Source organism: Homo sapiens, chromosome 1 (genome assembly GCF_000001405.40).
Source record: "Homo sapiens chromosome 1, GRCh38.p14 Primary Assembly".
NCBI lineage: Eukaryota > Metazoa > Chordata > Mammalia > Primates > Hominidae > Homo > Homo sapiens.
Window position 1 is genome coordinate 169,380,356 of NC_000001.11, and position 19,227 is coordinate 169,399,582.

At 37.2% G+C, this 19,227-nt stretch overlaps 2 protein-coding genes across 9 annotated transcripts in view; one reads left to right on the forward strand and one right to left on the reverse strand.

Moving 5' to 3' along the window:
• BLZF1 (basic leucine zipper nuclear factor 1) overlaps window positions 1-16,220 on the forward strand; it is a 28,381-nt gene extending 12,161 nt beyond the window's left edge. The window contains exons 5-8 of one of the 2 annotated variants that reach the window (NM_003666.4): window positions 126-254; window positions 1,707-1,926; window positions 6,642-6,854; window positions 15,539-16,220. In NM_003666.4, the coding sequence (NP_003657.1) occupies window positions 126-254; window positions 1,707-1,926; window positions 6,642-6,827 (535 nt within the window). In that variant the 3' untranslated portion in view covers window positions 6,828-6,854; window positions 15,539-16,220. Of the gene's footprint in view, window positions 1-125; window positions 255-1,706; window positions 1,927-6,641; window positions 7,951-15,538 lie in introns of those variants that run through there. The other variant, NM_001320973.2, reaches the window with a different exon arrangement.
• The window catches only part of CCDC181 (coiled-coil domain containing 181), a 65,800-nt gene continuing 61,087 nt past the window's right edge, over window positions 14,515-19,227 (reverse strand). For 4 of the 7 annotated variants that reach the window (XM_005245383.1, XM_017001938.2, NM_001394007.1 and 1 more), the window contains 2 exons: window positions 16,882-17,036; window positions 14,515-14,851 (listed from right to left, as the gene is read on the reverse strand). In XM_005245383.1, the coding sequence (XP_005245440.1) occupies window positions 14,692-14,851; window positions 16,882-17,036 (315 nt within the window). In that variant the 3' untranslated portion in view covers window positions 14,515-14,691. The remainder of the gene's footprint in view (window positions 14,852-16,881; window positions 17,037-19,227) is intronic. The other 3 variants (NM_001300968.1, NM_001394008.1, NM_021179.3) reach the window with 1 other exon arrangement.

Here is a 19,227-nt window from a genome sequence, read left to right on the forward strand (position 1 = left end):
GTGAAGTAACTATACTGTTAAATCTTTGTTAGCTTCTGAAAGTGACAGTCACAAAGTAGTATATTCAATTTTTTACACTGTATTATTGTCAGCAAATTTATATGTAAGATTTTAATCTTTTTCAGGGTAATGGCAGATGAGTTAACCAACTCAAGAGCAGCTTTACAGCGTCAAAACCGTGATGCACACGGGGCTATACAAGATCTCCTAAGTGAACGGGAACAGTTTCGTCAAGAAATGATAGCTACCCAGAAGTATGGCACTTGTTTACATTCTGAACTCTTCTGCTTTCTCCTGCAAATTAAGTTATTGTAGTTTTGGTTTTTTTGTTTGTTTGTTTTTGTTTTGGGTGTGTCTACATTTGATAACTTACTGAGCATATACTTTTAGTAGCATTTTAAAATAGATGCTCTGGGAGGGAAGAGGACTGAAAAAATAGAAGGCATGCTTTTCACATTCTTAATTGGGGAAATAATTAGTTATATCTGTAGTAGAAGGATTCTCTGGATTTAAAAGCAATTGCTGGTAATAGTTGTAGTCGTACAGTTTTCGGTAGAAGCCAAGGAGTGTACCTGTCTCTCCTGTGGAAAGAGATCTTTTTGAAGACTTCCTACAGTATTAGAGCTTGTTTTCATGTCCATATACTCCAGAACTATCAAAATTGATGGTCTTCCTTAAAAGCCTTTTGCATTTTTATATAGTTGATTTATTACACGTAGAATCAGTAAGTGTCAAAGAGCAAATTATAGGGGAAATTAGAAGAATGAAAACACAAGAAACGTCTAACCAGTTTAATCAGGAAAAAAAGAGAAGATATACATTACCAGTATCAGGAATGAAGGGGGGGGTACAATATAGACTCTATACACATAAAAAAGATAATACAGAAATGTTATGAACAAATCCATGTCAATAAATTCAGTAATTTAGATGAAATGGACAAACTCCATGAAAGACAAACTACCAAAGGTTACTCAAGAACAAATAGATAACCTGAATAGCCCTAACCTATTAAAGCAAATATAATTTATAGTTAAAAATTAAATATTTTCCAGTAAAGGAAATTCCAGGTCTAGATGGATTCACTGATGAATGCTAGTAAACATCTAAGGAAGACATAAAACCAAACTTATAAAAATTATTCTAGAAAACAGAAGAGAAGGAAACAATTTCCAGCTCATTTCATGAGACCAGCATTGTCTTGATATCAGAACCATTAGCCAAAACCCACCAACTAATATCTCTAATGAACATAAATGCAAAAATCCTTAACAGAATTTCAGTGAATCAAGTCCAACAATACAGAAAAAGTTTTATACATTTTGACCAAGTAAAGTGAATCCCAGGAATTGTAGATTGGTTTAGCATTCAAGAATCAATTAATGTAACTCACCAAAAAAGAAAAACCGTATGAATATCCCCATAGTTGCACAAATTATGTAAGTAGTTCCTATACTAAAAGATGAGAACAAAGAAAAGTACTGTTTGTTAAATGATTTTCATACAACAACCTAGTAGATTAACATATGCTTTCTGTAGTCTAACTTACTTGACTAAGACATCCGAATTTATGGAACTCTGAGAGAGAAAGGGATCAGAGAAAGATGTTATATAATTTCAGAAATATTTGTATTACCTATTTACTATTATTAATTTTTACATTTTGCTCTCTTACTATGTCCGGTGTTCATGTGTGTTCTATGCAGATTATTGGAGGAGCTCTTAGTTTCCTTGCAATGGGGAAGAGAGCAAACTTACTCCCCTAGTGTACAACCCCACAGCACAGCAGAGCTAGCATTAACAAATCACAAGTTGGCAAAAGCAGTAAATTCTCATCTTCTGGGAAATGTTGGCATTAACAATCAAAAAAAGATTCCATCAACAGTTGAATTCTGCAGCACCCCAGCTGAGAAAATGGCTGAAACGGTAAAATATTTTCTTTTGTGATCTATGGAACTTCTAACACTGTCCTTTTACTGAAAGGTGACATATCATGGAAAGCATTTGGCATTAGGAATTAGGAAATGTGGGATCTAAACCACTCATGCTATTGAGTGTGTTATCTTGGAGAAAATTATTTCCTCTTCTGCGCTTTAATATTTTCTAACACTACTGTTCTATTTTTAAGGACAAAAAAAGTAATTGTTTTGAAAGAGGTCCTATGTTTTAGCTATTAAGTCACTGATAATCCTTTTCATGAGTTCATTTTGATATAAAAACCACTGTGTAGAATTTTTAATGTAGATTAAATTAGTAGATTCATAGATTACTTCTGATCTAAGAAATTACTTAATTTCCACATATAGATGGAAATGTATCAAATACTACAGTACAGATAGTATAGTCCTGGATGAATTCAGGGTCCATGCAGCTGGCTTGTCAAATACTCATCTCACATGTCTGTGACAACAACCAAGTTCACCTTCGTTACAACTCTCATGTCCCCATCTGGGTCCCTGCCTGTCGCCATAACTCTTGCACTATTAAAATCTTCAACTCAACATCTCTGTCTCTGTGATCTGTGATCTCAACTTTTTTTCTTTCCAACTCTGATTCTTCATTCTGACTCCCTGGATGTGAACACATCTTTGATCATATAATTGTTTTTATTCCCTTGGTCCCTATATTTTTTTATGTATCTCATCAGCTCACTCTTTTAGTTTCTCTTCCCACATAGCTTTCCTAGACTCTATTCATAAGTGCCTTACTGCCTTATCTTCCTCTCCGAGTATGCTGCAAACCCCAGTCCTGTGTCAGTTCAGCTGTTTGCCTTTTTATTTCAGTACCCATCAAATACTACCTCACATTCAGCAGATGACTTTCCTTCCTAATCCACAGAAGAAAAAGGGGACAGAGGCAGAAAACTGCCTGAAGGTTTCATTAGATATCTAGAAGCCTATCTGTATGGCAGCATACATTTCTCTCAGAGGAAAAGGTGTCCTTCCTCTTCTCCTAAGCATACCTCCCCTCTAGGCCCTGGCTTCACCCTCAACAGTTATTCCTTCTCTCTGTTGGCTCTTTCCTTTTGGCTTAAGAACATGTCCAAGCATCATTCATCTAAAAAAGAAAAATCTTCCCTCTATTGTAAGATGTCTGGATATGGCTTTATCACCTTCCTTTCACATCCAAGAATCTTGGACAAGTTGTCCAGACATGTTTGTACTTAAACACCATCCATTCCTCAATTCCTACCGTCACTTAAATCTGTAGACTTCCTGCCCCACTATTCTCAGTAAGTACTCTTAAAAAGGTCATGAACATTTACTATCATATTATACTGTATCGAGCATTCCTTCCTGGAAACTCCCTTGACCTTTGTAACATCACTCTTTCTTGGCCCTGATGCTACCTCTCTGAGCTCTTCTTCATAGACTTTTTTCCTCCTTTAGATGTTCATGTTTCATAGGAATCTGTGTTCCCCTTTTCAAAATCTCTTCGTTCCTAAACACCATACTCTTGAAACGATTCACTACTTTTGTGACCATTGTTTCTAAGTTTTTGAGGGGGAGGGGCATCCTCTTCCTGTGACCCCTCTTGAGCTTTCTTTACATAACATACTTTCTCTATTCTCTTGGTGTTATTCTGTTTACCATAGCTTTATGCTTGTGACTTTTCCATCTCAGACTTTTTTCTGAGTCTGAGAGATTTATATCCAGCCAGGTATTTCCATCTACTTGTTCCACAGATGGCTAAAAATATAATCTCTTTTCTCCTTGCTTTTGCATTTGTACAACCCCCCACCCCTAAAAATCTCCTCCTTTTCCTGTATTCCCTATCTTGATGAATTATACCTACTCTATAGTGCTGTTTTCAGATTTCGATAAAAAACACATATAAAGCCTGCAGCAGTTTCCAATATATTGTAATTTCTCAATAAATGGTAGCTATCGTTTTTACTATTTCCTTCATTCCCCTAGTCCTGTTGATTTTACAGATCTTACCAGTTTTTTTCTAATTTATCCCCTCCCAAGTTCAAACACCTGACTTCCAGCCTAGCCCACTGCAGTTGCCCCCTCACTGATATCCCTGCCCTCCTTCTTAGCTGCTCCTGCCCACCCACTACTGGCAGAGAGTTATTTCAGAAGGCCAAATCAGTCATCAAACAGTTCCCAGTCTCCCTCATTATTGAATCAGAATTCATTCATATTGTATAGAAGGCTTTTTATAATCTTTCTTCCATCTCCCCTTCTCAAGAATCATTTCCCAAGTGTCACTACCCACTGCACTTAACATTCCAGCAGGGTTTAACCACTTTTCATGATGCACATAGGCCATTGTATCTCATGCCTCTGTACATACTTTTTCTTGTCTGGACTACCCTCCCCACACCTCTTTTGTTGCCCAACCTCTGTACCACCTTTAAGAACCTGCCTTCTCTGAATCTTGCTGGCAATCTGAAGTGTTCCTTCTCCATCCTTCCATTGTACTTTGCACTTATATCTGTAACTGCTCTTTACTGTATTAAATTATAATAGTTTTATTTTCCATCCCTCTCCCAAATTGTAAACTCCTAAAGGGCTGGGGACTTTGTGTTTTTATGTTTCCTCAAGGTCTGGCATAATCCCTTGCACATACTAAGTGCTCAGCTATTTACTGAATGAGTCAGTACCTAAAATTAATCATTTTTATCCAAAATTTTGTTTCTCCTTTTCTATTCTCTTTGTTGGGAAATTGTGTCACTGCCTACTTAGTTGCTGCCAGTAGCATTTGGTATAGTTGACCACTCCCTCTTTCTCGAACTATTCTTTCCGAGGTTTATATAACTTTATAGCTTACAGGCTTTTCTCTTTTATCCAACCATTTTATTTCACTATACAATGTTAGGTATCCTCAGGGCTTGATTTAGATCCCCTTCTTCTCCCAGACCTTTATCCACCACATTCTCCTATTTAACAAAACTGACAGCCCTTCTTCCTTAGTGTCTCTTAAACTTTTCAGTCCCATTGCTTCAAGGTGCCATCATTTCTTAGCTAGATTATTACAATAACCTCCCTTTTTCTGTTCTTATGTCTGCTTATGCATACTGCTTCCCCCATCCCCCACACTGTGTATAGAATGATCTCTCTGAAAGGCACCCTGCATAAAATCCTTCCCCATCACTTTCAGGCTAAAATACAGAAACCTTTCTGTTCATATTAGTGGGTCAGTCTCCTGCTCCTGAATTCCCTTAGCATTTTGTTTCTCGCTCTATAAAGACCTATAATGTAATAACATCTTTATAGTATTTGAGAACTTATTTTCTCCTCTAAATTTATAAGCAATGTTAAGGTAAGCCCTTCATCTTTGCTTATCCTCTAATACCAAACAAACTTCCATAAAAATAGAAGGATCTCAAAAACTAAATTGAAAAAGCAGTCTAGTTGAAAAATAGAGGTGCTAAAGTAAGTTGATGGCTCTTAAATGATGCCAGGACATTCTTAGAGTAGTGATGGCTCTTTGGGTTTGGTGGTAACTTAGAAGGGAAAAAAAAAATCTGCAGGACCACATGACCGCTAGGGAAACAGGCATCACCAACCATTCCAGAAAGCTGCTTTGAACAAGCCTTATATAAGAAAGAGAGAAAGCACTTTTCCCAATTCATTTCAGAATTCTTTCCAATTGCAGTGCTTGCTACCTTTGTACCATAACCCAAACACATCATGTGGTGATGACTGGGAAAATAGGAACATGAGAATCAAGAGCTGTGAGCCAGGCACGTTATCCCTGCCCTTAACTGGAGAAATTTTTTCAGCTCAAGAGTTCCTGTTTTGGGTCTCAGTAAAGGAGACAGATTAGGAAAAATCAGAGCAGAAGAAGAATTAGGAGAGCATTGTGTTGTGGAACCCAGGAAACAAAAAGTGGCTGTAATCATAAAATACTGCATATAAATTAGAAAAAGAGAAATGAAAAGCCATTGATACTACAGATAAAAAGTTATCAAGGATTTTGAAATATCGTTTCCATAGAAGAATAAAAACAAAATCCTGATTCTGAGCAGTTGAATGAAAGATTGAAGAGGGGAAGTAGTAAGTCCATTTTGGTTAAGGAAAAGAAATTGACATCACTTAATGATATAATTGACATGTAAAAAAACTGACCTCCTGGGGGGCCGAGGCAGGCAGATCACAAGGTCAGGAGATCGAGACCATCCTAGCTAACACAGTGAAACCCCATCTCTATTAAAAATACAAAAAATGAGCCGGGCATGGTGGCGGGCGCCTATAGTCCCAGCTACTCGGGAGGCAGAGGCAGGAGAATGGCGTGAACCCAGGAGGCAGAGCTTTCAGTGAGCCGAGATCGCGCCACTGCACTCCAGCCTGGGCCACAGAGCGAGACTCCATCTCAAAAAAAAAAAAAAAAAGACATAATGATATAACCTCATTTTCTTCTATGTTTTCCTGCTTTCCTACCAATATCTGTAAAACATTAACGTCATTATTTAAAAAAATATGTAACCTAGATAATATAGTAATCAGACATCATTGTTAAATTTACAGCTTAAGGAAGTAAGTTGTCTTTTCAATCAGATTAGTCATTCTGTTTTTTTAGTAATAGTTATATATTAATGAAGTGAAACTTTATAGGTAGGTATACATCAATGAAATCTTAGGCTTTTACCATCTATATTGCATACTTCTGACATTATATCTTATTTTCCTTAGGTTCTAAGAATTTTAGATCCAGTTACCTGCAAAGAGAGTTCACCTGATAATCCATTTTTTGAGTCTTCACCAACCACCTTACTTGCTACAAAGAAAAATATTGGACGATTTCATCCCTATACTAGATATGAAAATATAACTTTCAATTGCTGCAATCACTGCCGGGGAGAACTGATTGCCCTTTAACAGTCAATATGTTGGAGGCATGCTAAGGTACTTCCTTATTACCCAAGAGTCATTATTATTTGGGAGCTGGGGTTCTTACAATGCTAGAAATAATATCACTTCCTATTTACATAATGTATACACCCAAAGATATTTTATGTACTAGACTCCAGATTACCCTTTCTTAATAAATATCTCAGGGTAAGGAAAGAAAGAAACTGTATAGATATATTTAAAATAGAGAATACTTTCCAAGCAATACATGATACTTTTCCTAAAAGACTCTAAAAGAAAAAGATTCTGTAACTCTCTTTTAGCACCAAATTATTGTTTATCTTGCTGGATATTTTATATGAACAGTGTTAATTTAGATGCACTAAAGCAAAGGTAGGCAAACTACAACCATGAGTCAAACATGGCCACACCCATTCATGTGCTATTGTCTAAGCTGGTTTTGCACTACAACTGCAGAGTTGAATAGATGCAGCAGATCCTTTACAGAAAAAGTTTTCTGACCTCAATTCTAAAGTAATTGTAGTAGGGAGCTGGAGGACTTTCTTTCCCTTTATGGTAATTTTTTGAGCTACAAAAGAGCCTTGCAGAAATGGGTGAAGGGATTAATCTTTTAAAAATAAATGCTATATATTAGGAAAATAAAAAATATTTTAGAGCCAAGTTAACAAGTACTTCAGCAAAACATGCTAGTTTTATGCAGGGGATTCTGTATTCCAAATGGATACAATCCGACATATATAAAAGAAACAGATTCTTAACTATTGACTCTTATTTAGCAAATGCAACAGACAAGAATATCCAACTTGATATTTATAAAAGGTAGACTTTTTCCAAAAGTGTATAAGCTCAAAGAAAAAATGCAACCTGTCAATTAATATATACTATGTAATATATATTATTGTGTATTTATGATTAGCCATCATAAATGCCCATTGCTTGGCCTTTAAGAATAATCACAAAATATTTATATTAAATTATACAAATTTGTTGCAGAAGTGCCTGTGAGAGAAATCTTCAAAAGACAAACCTGGTCAAATAATAATAATTTTAATGTCAATGATTTTTTTTGTCTGACTCATCTGAGTTATATTTAGTTTTCAAGTGGCAATAAATTTATCTACCTTCTTTATTGCGACTATTCCTTTTTTCCCCCAGAATTAGTGCTTTGGTTTAGGTCTTTGTCTAGCTTAACTACTTCCAATTGATTCTTCAGCCTTTTCTTTTAGGTTTACTTACTATAAAAGTCTCAGAAGAAAGCATAAGGGGAAAGCTTCGTGACATTGTATTTGGCAATGATTTCTTGAATATGACAACAGAAGCACAGGCAACAAAAGAAAAAATAGATAAATTGAATTTCATCAAAATTTCAAATTTTTGTGCATTAAAAGATGCAGTGAAAAGGCAACACAGAGAATGGGAGAAAATATTTGCAAATCATATATCTGATAACTGTCTAGTGTCCAGAATATATAAAGCACTCCTACAACTCAACCACCAAAAAACAACCCAATAAAAATTAGCAAAGGGGCTGGGCATGGTGGCTCATGCCTGTAATCCTAGCACTTTGGGAGGCTGAGGCAGTCAGATCACCTGAGGCCAGGAGTTCAAGACCAGCCGAGCCAAGATGGCGAAACCCCATCTCTACTAAGAATACAAAAAATTGGCCTGGCGCAGTGGCTCACGCCTGTAATCCCAGCACTTTGGGAGGCCGAGGTGGGTGGGTCACCTGAGGTTAGGAGTTCAAGATCAGCCTGGCCAAGATGGTGAAACCCCCGTCTCTACTAAAAATACAAAAAATTAGTTGGGCATGGTGGCGGGCACCTGTACTCCCAGCTACTCGGGAGGCTGAGGCAGAGAATTGCTTGAACCTGGGAGGCGGAGGTTGTAGTGAGCCGAGATCGCGCCGCTGCACTCCAGCCTGGGTGACGGAGCGAAACTCTGTCTCAAAAAAAAAAAGAATACAAAAAATAAGCCGTGTGTGGTAGTGGACGCCTGTATACCCAGCTACTGGAGAGGGTGAGGCAGGCGAATTTCTTGAACCTGGGAGGTGGAGGCTGCAGTGAGCCGAGATCGCGCCATTACACTCCAGCCTGGGCAACAAGAGTGAAACTTCCTCTCAAAAAAAAACAAAAACAAAAAAAATTAGCAAAGGACCTGAATAGACATTTCTCCAAAAAGGATATATAGATGGCCAATAAGCACATCAAAAGATGCTCAGCATAACTACTCATTAAGGAAATGCAAATTAATACCACTTCACATCCATTAGGATGGCAGTTATCAAAAAAGCAAATTATAAATGTCAAAGATGTGGAGAAATTGGAACCCCTATGCATTGTTTGTGGGAATGTAAAATGTTGAAAACAGTGTGGCAGATCCTCAAAATATTAAACATAGAGTTACCATATGGCCTAGCAATTCTGCTTCTAGGTAGATTCCCAAAAGAAAGCAGAAACTAGAATAGGTATTTGTACAACAGTGTTCACAGCTGCATTATTCACAATAGCCAAAAGGTGGATGTAACACAGTGTCCATCGATGGATGAATAGATAAACAAAATCTGGTATATACATGTGAAGAAATACTATTCAGCCTTAAGGAATGAAATTTGATGCTACAATGTAGATGAACCTTTAGAATATTATACTAAGTGAAATAAGTCAGACACAAAAAGTCAAATGTCAAATGATTCCATTTATATGAGTTCCTAGAAGAGACAAATTTGTAGAGATGGAAAGCAGAATAGTGGTTATCAGGGACTGGAGAGAGTGTAGAATGGGAAGTTTTTATTTAGTGGGTATAGAATTAGAGATTGGGATGACAAAAATGTTCTGGAGATAAACAGTGATGATGGTTGTACAACAATGTCAGTCTACTTAATGCTACTGCATTGTACATTTAAAAAATATTTAAAATGGTAAATTTTACACGTTACAATTAAAAAACTAAAAAAAAATTATATACACTTTTGTAACCACAAACTCGTGGCACACTTCTGCAACTGTTGGTTTAACAGTGTCAATAACAATAATAATAAAGATAAGAGTTAGTGAGCTAAATTTAAAAAATAAAAAAGATCTCAAATCAGCAATCTAACATAACACCTTAAGGAAATAAAAAAAGAACTAAACCCAATGTGAGAAGAAGGAAGGAAATTAAGATTAGAGTGCAGACAAATAGAGAATAGAAAAACAAGAGAGATCAAAGAAGTCAACAGTTAGTTCTTTAAAAAGAAAGACCAAATTGACAAATCTGTAGCCATACTGACTAAGAAAAATAAAACAGGTAAAACTAAAATCAGAAATGAAAGTGGGGACATTATTAGTCACCTTACATAAAGAAAAACTGTACACCAATAAACTAGGTAAACTAGTTTACAGACAAATTCCTAGAAAGACATGTATTAGTCCACTCTCATGGTGCTACAAAGAAACCTGAGTAATTTATAAAGGAAAGAGGTTTTCAAAAAGGGAGAATTATTCTGAGGCTAGACCATGTGATGCTTTTACAGTGCACTTAAAAAAAATTTTTTTTCCCACACAAGAGATTTCTAAGTGTCTAAATTACACTTTTTCTTAAAAAACCCAGAGTAGCTTCTGTTGCAATAGCTATTAATGAAGAAAACAGAATTCAGTCAACTGAGAAGAAAAAAACTTTTGCTCAAAAAGACAAGGTCCTAAGAAATAAACAAAAACATAAAGGCCTTTTAAATACAAGCATGCACACATGCACACATACATTTACATATCTTGGATGTTAGCTTTTAATTAAGCTGACTTAACCATTGAGCTCCTAAAAATTATATTTTCCTTCCCAGAGGCCTCTCAGCAGGAATGGACCCAATACCTTCCATTTTTAAGTTTACATGGTATCAAAAGGAGTAAGACAGATAAACAAGTGGAGACAAATTTTGGACAACACAAGGGGAAGTGCACTCGGGCAAAACAGATTCAAAACCTGATCTCAATCAAAATGCAAAGCGGGTGTATAACCAAGCCTTATTATTGCTTCCCGTGGCAGTGCCAGACAAATGGTTTAACAAGCCTAGATGGGAAAACAATAGGCTCCCAGCATACCATTCAGTTAACTCACCCTTTGAGTTCGTCCGCTCCTGATCTCCATTCTAACCCAGCATTGTAAGGGTTGTGCACTTTTGAGCACAGGACAGCCTTCAAGGGGGTCCCTGGGAAAATCTCACCTGCAGCTGCTGGGATCCCCCTAAAGACTGTCTCCTTGCAAGCCACTGGCCACTGAATGCAGCACCATTCCAGTCTCTCCTGGCTGGCACGCCAAATTTTGTTCCCAGACCAAACTGAGGTTTGGGCTGCTGTTTCTCGTGGCCCAATAACGAGATGCAAATGAACTGGGGAGGAAGGGAGTTTTCATTTCTGCAACCGGTTACAGGGAGAAGGCCTGGAAATTATCACCAGACCAATTCAAAATTACAAAGTTTTCCAGAGCTTATATACCTTCTAAGCTATATGTCCATGTGTAAGTGTGCATTCATCTAAGGATGTAAGTGATTAACTTCTTTTAATCTATAACTAAGGTCTGAGTCCTGAAGGCCTTCCTCTGGAGCCTCAGTAAATTTACTTAATCTAAATGGGTCCAGGTGCTGGGGCAGTTACCCTTGTCTCCTGCTAAATCACGGAGGTTTGGGGAGTTCCTTCAGACCCCCGATAAACTTGTTTGTGGAGGCCTGGGGAGTTTCTTCAGACCCACAATAAAACTTGTTCAATCCTAAATGGGCCCTGTTAAGAATTCCTGTATTATTTTGTCATGCTTTAAGGCCCAGGAAAGACCTAGGCAAAACTCTTGATGGGCTTTTGTGGCATCCCAGCCTTTGTATAAGGAGACTGACTTTTAATATTTAACTTAACCCTTCAGTCAGTAGTGAAACAGTCGTTATGGAGGCCTGCATTAGTGAGACCTGGCCTGCCACAATCCTGTGTTCATGTATTGAAAGACTGTATTATTAAGATGGCAGTACTACCCAAAGCAGTCTACAGATTCACTGAGAGCCCTATCAAAATTCCAACAGCCTTTTTGAAAAATGGAAAAGCTTACCATCAAACTCATATGGAATTGTAAACGCCGTGAATAGCCAAAACAATGCGGAAAAGGCCAAAGTTGGAGGACTGACACTTCCCAATTTCAAAACTTACTATAAAACTACAGTGGTCTAAACAGTGGGCTGTTGGCACAAGTACAGATGATACTAACATACAGATCAATAGAATAGAATTGAGGCTTCAGAAATAAACCCATACATCTATGGCCAACTGACTTTCAACAAATGATGCTGCAATAACTGAATGTACACATGCAAAAAAAAAGTTGAACCTCTATGTGATATTGCGATAGAAGAAATACATATTTTGGTCTTGTACCAGTTTCCTGGCACATAGCTCCTAAAACCCTTGCAACATCCCAAGTCCCCAAGCTGTGAGTATCTTTGTATGCTAATGAAATGACTAATGTCTGGGGGATCTGGATGGGGGGAAGTTGCCAGGAGGAACCAACCAAGTAATTAGAGAGTAGACCTCCAGGGGAGGGGGAAGTCCTGAAGGTTAAGTTGATTACCAGTAGCCAATGATTTAATCAGTCATGCCTTCATAATGAAGCCCCTCCATAAAAACCCAAAAGGTTTAGACAGCTTTCTAGGTTGCTGAACATGTGCAGGTACCGAGAGCATGGAAGTTCCACGACCCTTCCTCCATACCTTGCCCCACGAATCTCTTCAATCTGGCTATTCCTGAGTTGCATCCTTTTAAAAAGAGAAACAGAAGTGTTTCTCTGAGTTCTGTGAGCGATTCTAGCAAAGTACTGTGGGAACTGTAACCAGGGGACCTATTATTTGCAATTGATGTCTGAAGTGGGGGGCAGTTTCATGGGACTGAGCCTGGGTGTATGGTCTGCATTAACTCTGGTTAGCGTCAGAATTGAATTGTAGAATACCTACTTGGTGTCTGCAGAGAACGGGGAAATTGCTTGGTCTTGGGGAAAACAACCTAAACATCTGGTGTCAGAAGTGATGTACTGAGTATTGAGAGTATACAAGGAAAAAGTTTGTTTTTTCTTACTCTACCTCACGCCATATATAAAAATTAAGTAAAAACGAATCAAACTGGCCAGGTGCAGTGACTTACACCTGTAATCCCAGCACTTTGGGAGGCTGAGGCAGGTGGATCAGCTGAGGTCAGGAGTTTGAGACCAGCCTGACCAACATGGCGAAACCCCGTCTCTACTAAAAATAAAAAAAAATTAGCTGGGCATGGTGGCGGGTGCCTGTAATCCCAGCTACTCAGCAGGCTGAGGCAGGAGAATCACTTGAACCCGGGAGGTGGAGGTTGCAGTGAGCTGAGATGTGCCACGGCACTCCAGCCTGGGAGACTGTGAGACTGTCTAAGGGAAAAAAAAAAACAACTTTGTCTCTTTTTTTTGAGATACGGTCTCACTCTGTCACCCAGGCTGGAGTGCAGTGATGCAATCTTGGCTCACTGCAACCTCCACTTCTGGGGTTCAAGCGATTCTCATGCCTCAGCCTCCTGAGTAGCTGGGACTACAGGTGCATGGCACCATGCCCAACTAATTTTTGTATTTTTAGTAGAGACGGGGTTTCGCCATGTTGGCCAGGCCGGTCTCAAACTCCTGGCCTCAAGTGATCCTCCTGCCTCAACCTCCCAAAGTGCTAGGATTACAGGCGTGAGCCACCGCACCCAGCCAGAAGTTTGTCTTTTAAACTTTGCCAGAATGCTTACAGTGACTGTCCATTCTCCATCACACTTGTATGCTTACCTTTGTCCTTCACCCCTTACATGCTCTTACATGTATCAGAAGTACTATTCCTCTACACACTGGATTCTTGTATACTCTTAAATATCACATATTCTACCAAGGAATGTAATCTTTATAATATAACTGAGAGAAAGGATTTTGCAACCATACAGATCAGTCTATGTGAACAAAATATTCATGTCTATATAGTTTCCTTCTCTGCAGAACGACACTAATAGGGTTGTCATATGATTACATTATTTATATAAAGCATTTATAATACATTTTAAAATGTTTTAAGCTCTCAATAAAAGTTGGCTAATTTTGTAACATACCTACCTAAAATAGTATTACACATAATTGCTATTTTATCATTTCAAGTTTTATTTCAGATTCGGGGATACATATGTGCGTTAGTTACATGGGTATGTTGCATGTTGCTGAGGGTCCGGGTATGATTGGTCCCATCACCCAGGTAAAGAACATAGTACCCAATAGTTAGTTTTTCAACCCTTGCTCCCTTCCCTCACCCCCAGGAGTCCCCAGTGTCTACTGGGGACATCTTTATGTCCATGAATACACAATGTTTAGCTCTCACATATAGGGTGTATTTTTTAAGGTACTAACGGGTGGAATTAGGCCTACCCTATTGCTTAGCTTGCCATGATTATTCAAATCCAAAGTTGACATAAATAGGACTTTAAGGCCTTGAACCAGGCTTGTTTAAGGAGTCACTCCTTCAGCCTTATGAAATGTTCCATTGTAATTTTTTAAAAATAATAGGAAGTATGAATAGAAATCTGTACCTTTCTTGTGTTTTCTCCTAGAAACGTTAATAAAATAATTTAGAAGTAGAAGGACATAGAATTCATTCGTTGTTCAATTTGTTGCACAGACTAAGAGATGGCACAACACATTACAACACTGTGAGAAAAAAATTTATTTTGTTCTAGTATTAAAAAAACAAATTCACTGTCAATAAAAGATAAATACCATTTCCATAATTTAGAATACAACCAAAGTACACAGACCCTAAGAAATCATATCCAAAATTTTGATAGCAGCTGCCCACTGAAATATTTAATAGAAACTTTCAGTTATAATGATCAGTAAAACGAAAAGGTTTGGCTTCTGACATATATAGGTGGTGCTGTAACTGTTTAGAACGCTTAGCTTCTAGTCGGAGCTGTCTAGTTCTCTCTCTGACAGCTTGTTGCTCTGCCATTTTTTCCATCCGTTTCCTTCTTAACCATCTGTAGAAACAGGCATGATCAGATTTGGTGAGTATCAACCTGAATACACTCTTCATGCTATAAAGTTACTATTATAGACAAAATAAATGGACATTTCTTTACAATGAAATACTGTCACAGCACAAATTTTTAAGTATTAACTGAAAAATGTAAAGATTACACCCAAGGCTCATACAAGAAAGGACCGTTAGATTTGGGGTCAAATGTTTGAAATTGTCTGTCTTACAATGAAACTGCCAACTTAATTGGTTTTTTAATAATAAACACTATTTTATGTGTGCTGTAGATCCTATTCTTTTTTTAGAAACAGGATTTCTTACTATTTGGTAGATTCCAAATAACTTACTCTTTGTAACTAGCTGTATTCTAAAACATTACTTAGCTAGGTTAAGAATACTATCATGCAGAAATGCTGCCTTACTCTTCTTATAGGTAAATTATAGAGCTTTTAAGTCCACAAAATAGTTCTTAAAATGAAAAGTAAGCCAAACATGAAAACATCAAAAGCAGGAAAGGAAAAGTCCACATTCTAACAAATTCAAGTCTTAAACCTTGTTTAAATAATAGCAAAAATAACTGCATATACATATATACCTGGTATGTAAGTGTGTATGTGGTATGTTTGTGTGTGTGTGTGTGTGTATATGCACATACATACACCTGGTTTTGTTGTTTTTTTTTTTTCAGAATAAACAACTAAATAACTGTATTAGAAAAAAAAGAAACTTACTAAATATCATAATCTGATGATATGTGGTCCTGAATTGGCTACTAGTTTAAGCAAATAAACTGTAAGTCATTTATGGGTTAGTTGGGGAATAAATGGATATGGGCTGGATATTCGGTAATATCATTAATGAAAAGCAGATTGCAGAAATACAGTATGATCTCAGTATTTTGAAATTGTAAATACATGTACAGACAAATACTTAGACAGTATGCATACTGGTGTTAACAGTCACAATTTCTGGGTGATGAAAATGTAACTTGAAACCGCTCCATTTCTACAATGCACATTTACTGTTTCTGTTATAATAAAAGGGTATGTTAGAAAAACAAAAAGGAGGCTGGGCATGGTGGCTCATGCCTCTAATCTCAGCACTTTGGGAGGCCAAGGTGGGCGGATCACTTGAGGTCTGGAGTTTGAGACCAGCCTGAGCAACATGGTGAGACCCCATCTCTACAAAAAAAATATAAAAATTAGCCAGGTGTGGTGGTGCACACCTGTGGTCCCAGCTACTTGGGAGGCTGAGGTGGGAAAATCACTTGAACCTGGGAGGGTGAGGTTGCAGTGAGCTGAGATCATGCCACTGCACTCCAGCCTGGGTGACAGGAAAAGAAAAAGGAAGGAAGAGAAAAAAGAAGGAAAGAGCAAAAGAGACGAAAGAATGAAATGAACTTCAAACAATTGGACTCAATATTCACATTTGGTCCCCCAACTCTCCCCACACTTGCTAGCAAAAATATGAAGCCACATCTGTATTGTCAGAATTAGGCAATGCAGTGTCTTACCCAAATAACTAAAAAATATCAGGTTTGCCTTAAATTACCAAAATATGTACCCAAATCTCCTTTGGTCTATACAGATTTTCCTCCTTAGTCCACCTGCCTTTCTTTTACTGGTAAATGCAACTTTTATTGGTTGCATTTATTTGTAAATTCAGTTTTTCTGAGGGCTATGTAGGAGAAGCTGTAACCAATCTTCAACCCATTTCTCACAGAAATAAGTAAACAATAAATGATAAGGTATCAAAGGCTATCACACTGGTGCCATAAGAAATAATTTAAGTATTGAAAAGTATCTTGAAGAAAAATTGGTATGCATATATATATATAACTCCATATATATAATATATATAATAGAGTTAAAGAATTATACATTTTTAAAAGCATGAATTTAAAATTGAATAGGTACGTGCTGTAAGAGAAAACATTTTGAGGGTTTTTTTTTTCCAATCTTAATTGATGATATAACTTTTAAAATGAACATGAGGAAGGAGGAGGGGGGAAATGCCCTGCCTTTAACTTACTGTTTAAAGGCCCTTTCCCGGCCTTCTGTTCCTTTAAGGAAGAATAAACATTCCTCTTGCTTTCTTAGTTCTTCTGTCTGTCTTTCTTTCATCTGCTCTTCGTGCTTTTTTTTAAGCCATAATCGAAAAGCTTGTTGTGGATCTCTGTTTTCCTGCTGATTAGAAAAACAAGCTTTACTTAGTTTAGATAAACAAGAACTACATTTTGAAGCCCTGCTTATGGGATCCTACAAGAATATATTTCCTACTCTTCAATTTTTCATAATAATGCCAGCCTCATTACCTGCATTCCTAGTATCCAAACCAAATACATCACGCTTAAGTTTTAAGAATATCTTTCAGCAGTTACTTAAAATGGCTAAGCCCATTTTTCAAAACTGTAGTTCCTATTGTAAAGGGTGGCCATAAGGATTTTCAGTCATAAGAATTTTCTTATAAAGATAGCAGCCATGATAATTTTAACATAAGAAAAAGCTAGTAGGAGTGGCTTATTTCGTGGTCCCTCAAAGTTCATGATGGATAGTATCTTCAGGGAATTTTCAAAAGTTCAAAGAGCTCTTATTTGGAGGAATAAAGGAGAGAAAGAAGACAGATTTGGTACTCTTTACCCTTGGGAAAAGTGTCACCTCATGTGGATTCCTGGCTAGAATGCAAAAGGAAAAGATACATTCATTTAATACTTCCCCCAAATATAAGCTTTGTGATTGAGCTTATATCTTGCATTTCCCTCATCTGTTGCCTATATCTTGCATTTTTTCCCTTGTTTGTAACCCACATTGCCAAATATGCTCTAGTCTAATTTAGAAGATTATTCAGGATCTTTGATGCACAACTGAACTTTGTGGAGAAGACCCCTGGATCTAAAGAATCATTGCCAAACACCTGGAAGTCTGGGAATTGCTAGAGATGACATAAAAATGTTCAATCGGGAGTTATAGATCAAAAGAGTCCAGATACAAAGTAATAGATAGGAGGAATAAGTTCTGGTGTTCTATTACACAGTAGAGTGACTACAGTTAACAATACCGTATATTTCAAAATAATGAGGAGAGGATTTTTGAATGTTCTCATCATAAAGAAATGACAAGTGTTTGAGGTAATATGCTAATTACACAATGTGTACATGTATCAAAACATCACACTGTACTCCATAAATATGTGAAATTATGTGTCAATTAAATACAATTTTAAAGTTAAAATATTTTTAAAGATTCAAGGATTCAGGGAGCAACAGGATACATGGGTATCCCCATTCTTTTGTTCTTTCAACAGATATTCATAGTATTTACTACATAGCAGGCACTAAAGTACTGGGTTGCATTAATAAAATTAAGGTTCCCTCTCTCACACATTCTGTACTGTACAATACAGTAACCACAAGTCATAAGTGGCTATTTAAATAAAATTTAAACTTCAGTTTCTCAGTCATACTAGCTACATTTCAAGTGCTTAACAGACACACATGGCTAGCAGCTACTCTAATGGACAGTGCAAATACAGAAAATTTCCATCATCCCAGAAAGTTCTATTGGACAGTGTTCTGCACAGACAGGATAAAAATAAGTGACTGACTGATTGATTGACTGATCTGTCTGATTCAAAAGAAAATATGGGAAGGAGGGTAATAAACACAGCAGTGAGGAGAAAGGATGGTATTTAAATAGAAAGGGAGGAAGTTATGGGATATCTGGAGAAAAACAGTGGTAACAATAAGAGCAAAGGAGCTAAGAAGGGATTGTGTTTGGCATGATCAATAAATAGCAAAGAAGTCAAAGTGAAGCTGTAGCAAAGTAGCTGAAGAGTGGAAGATGAAGTCAGGGAAGTAGTAGGGATCAGGTAATGTATAACCTTGCTGGCCATGGTAGGAACTTTGGATTTCATTTTGAGATGAGAAGCCATTGGGGGTTTCTGAGCATAAGTGACACAGTTTATTCACCATTTTAGAAATATCATTCTGGCTGCTATGTGGAAAACTGAATGAGGGAGAGGCAAGGTAGAAGGGGGCTGGGTTATTAGGCTTTTGTAACAGCCCAGCCAACAGAAGAAAATAGTGGTTTAGATTAGGGTAGTGGGACTCTGTATATGCACTGAAGATAGAACCAACATAATTTGCTCAAAAATTGAATGGATAGTTTTATGTCATGCTTTAAATGATTATTTTTTAAATTATTCCAGGTTTATTAGTATAATAAAAATTCAAGAAAATATATTTTTAAAACAAGGTAAATTACAGCAGAACTATCATCAGAATGATAGACTGCATTGGTATGCAAATATGTCACTGCATAAGATCATAGCAAATAACTCTCAATAGTGGAGGGAACCAAAATAAAAAATTAGAGGAAA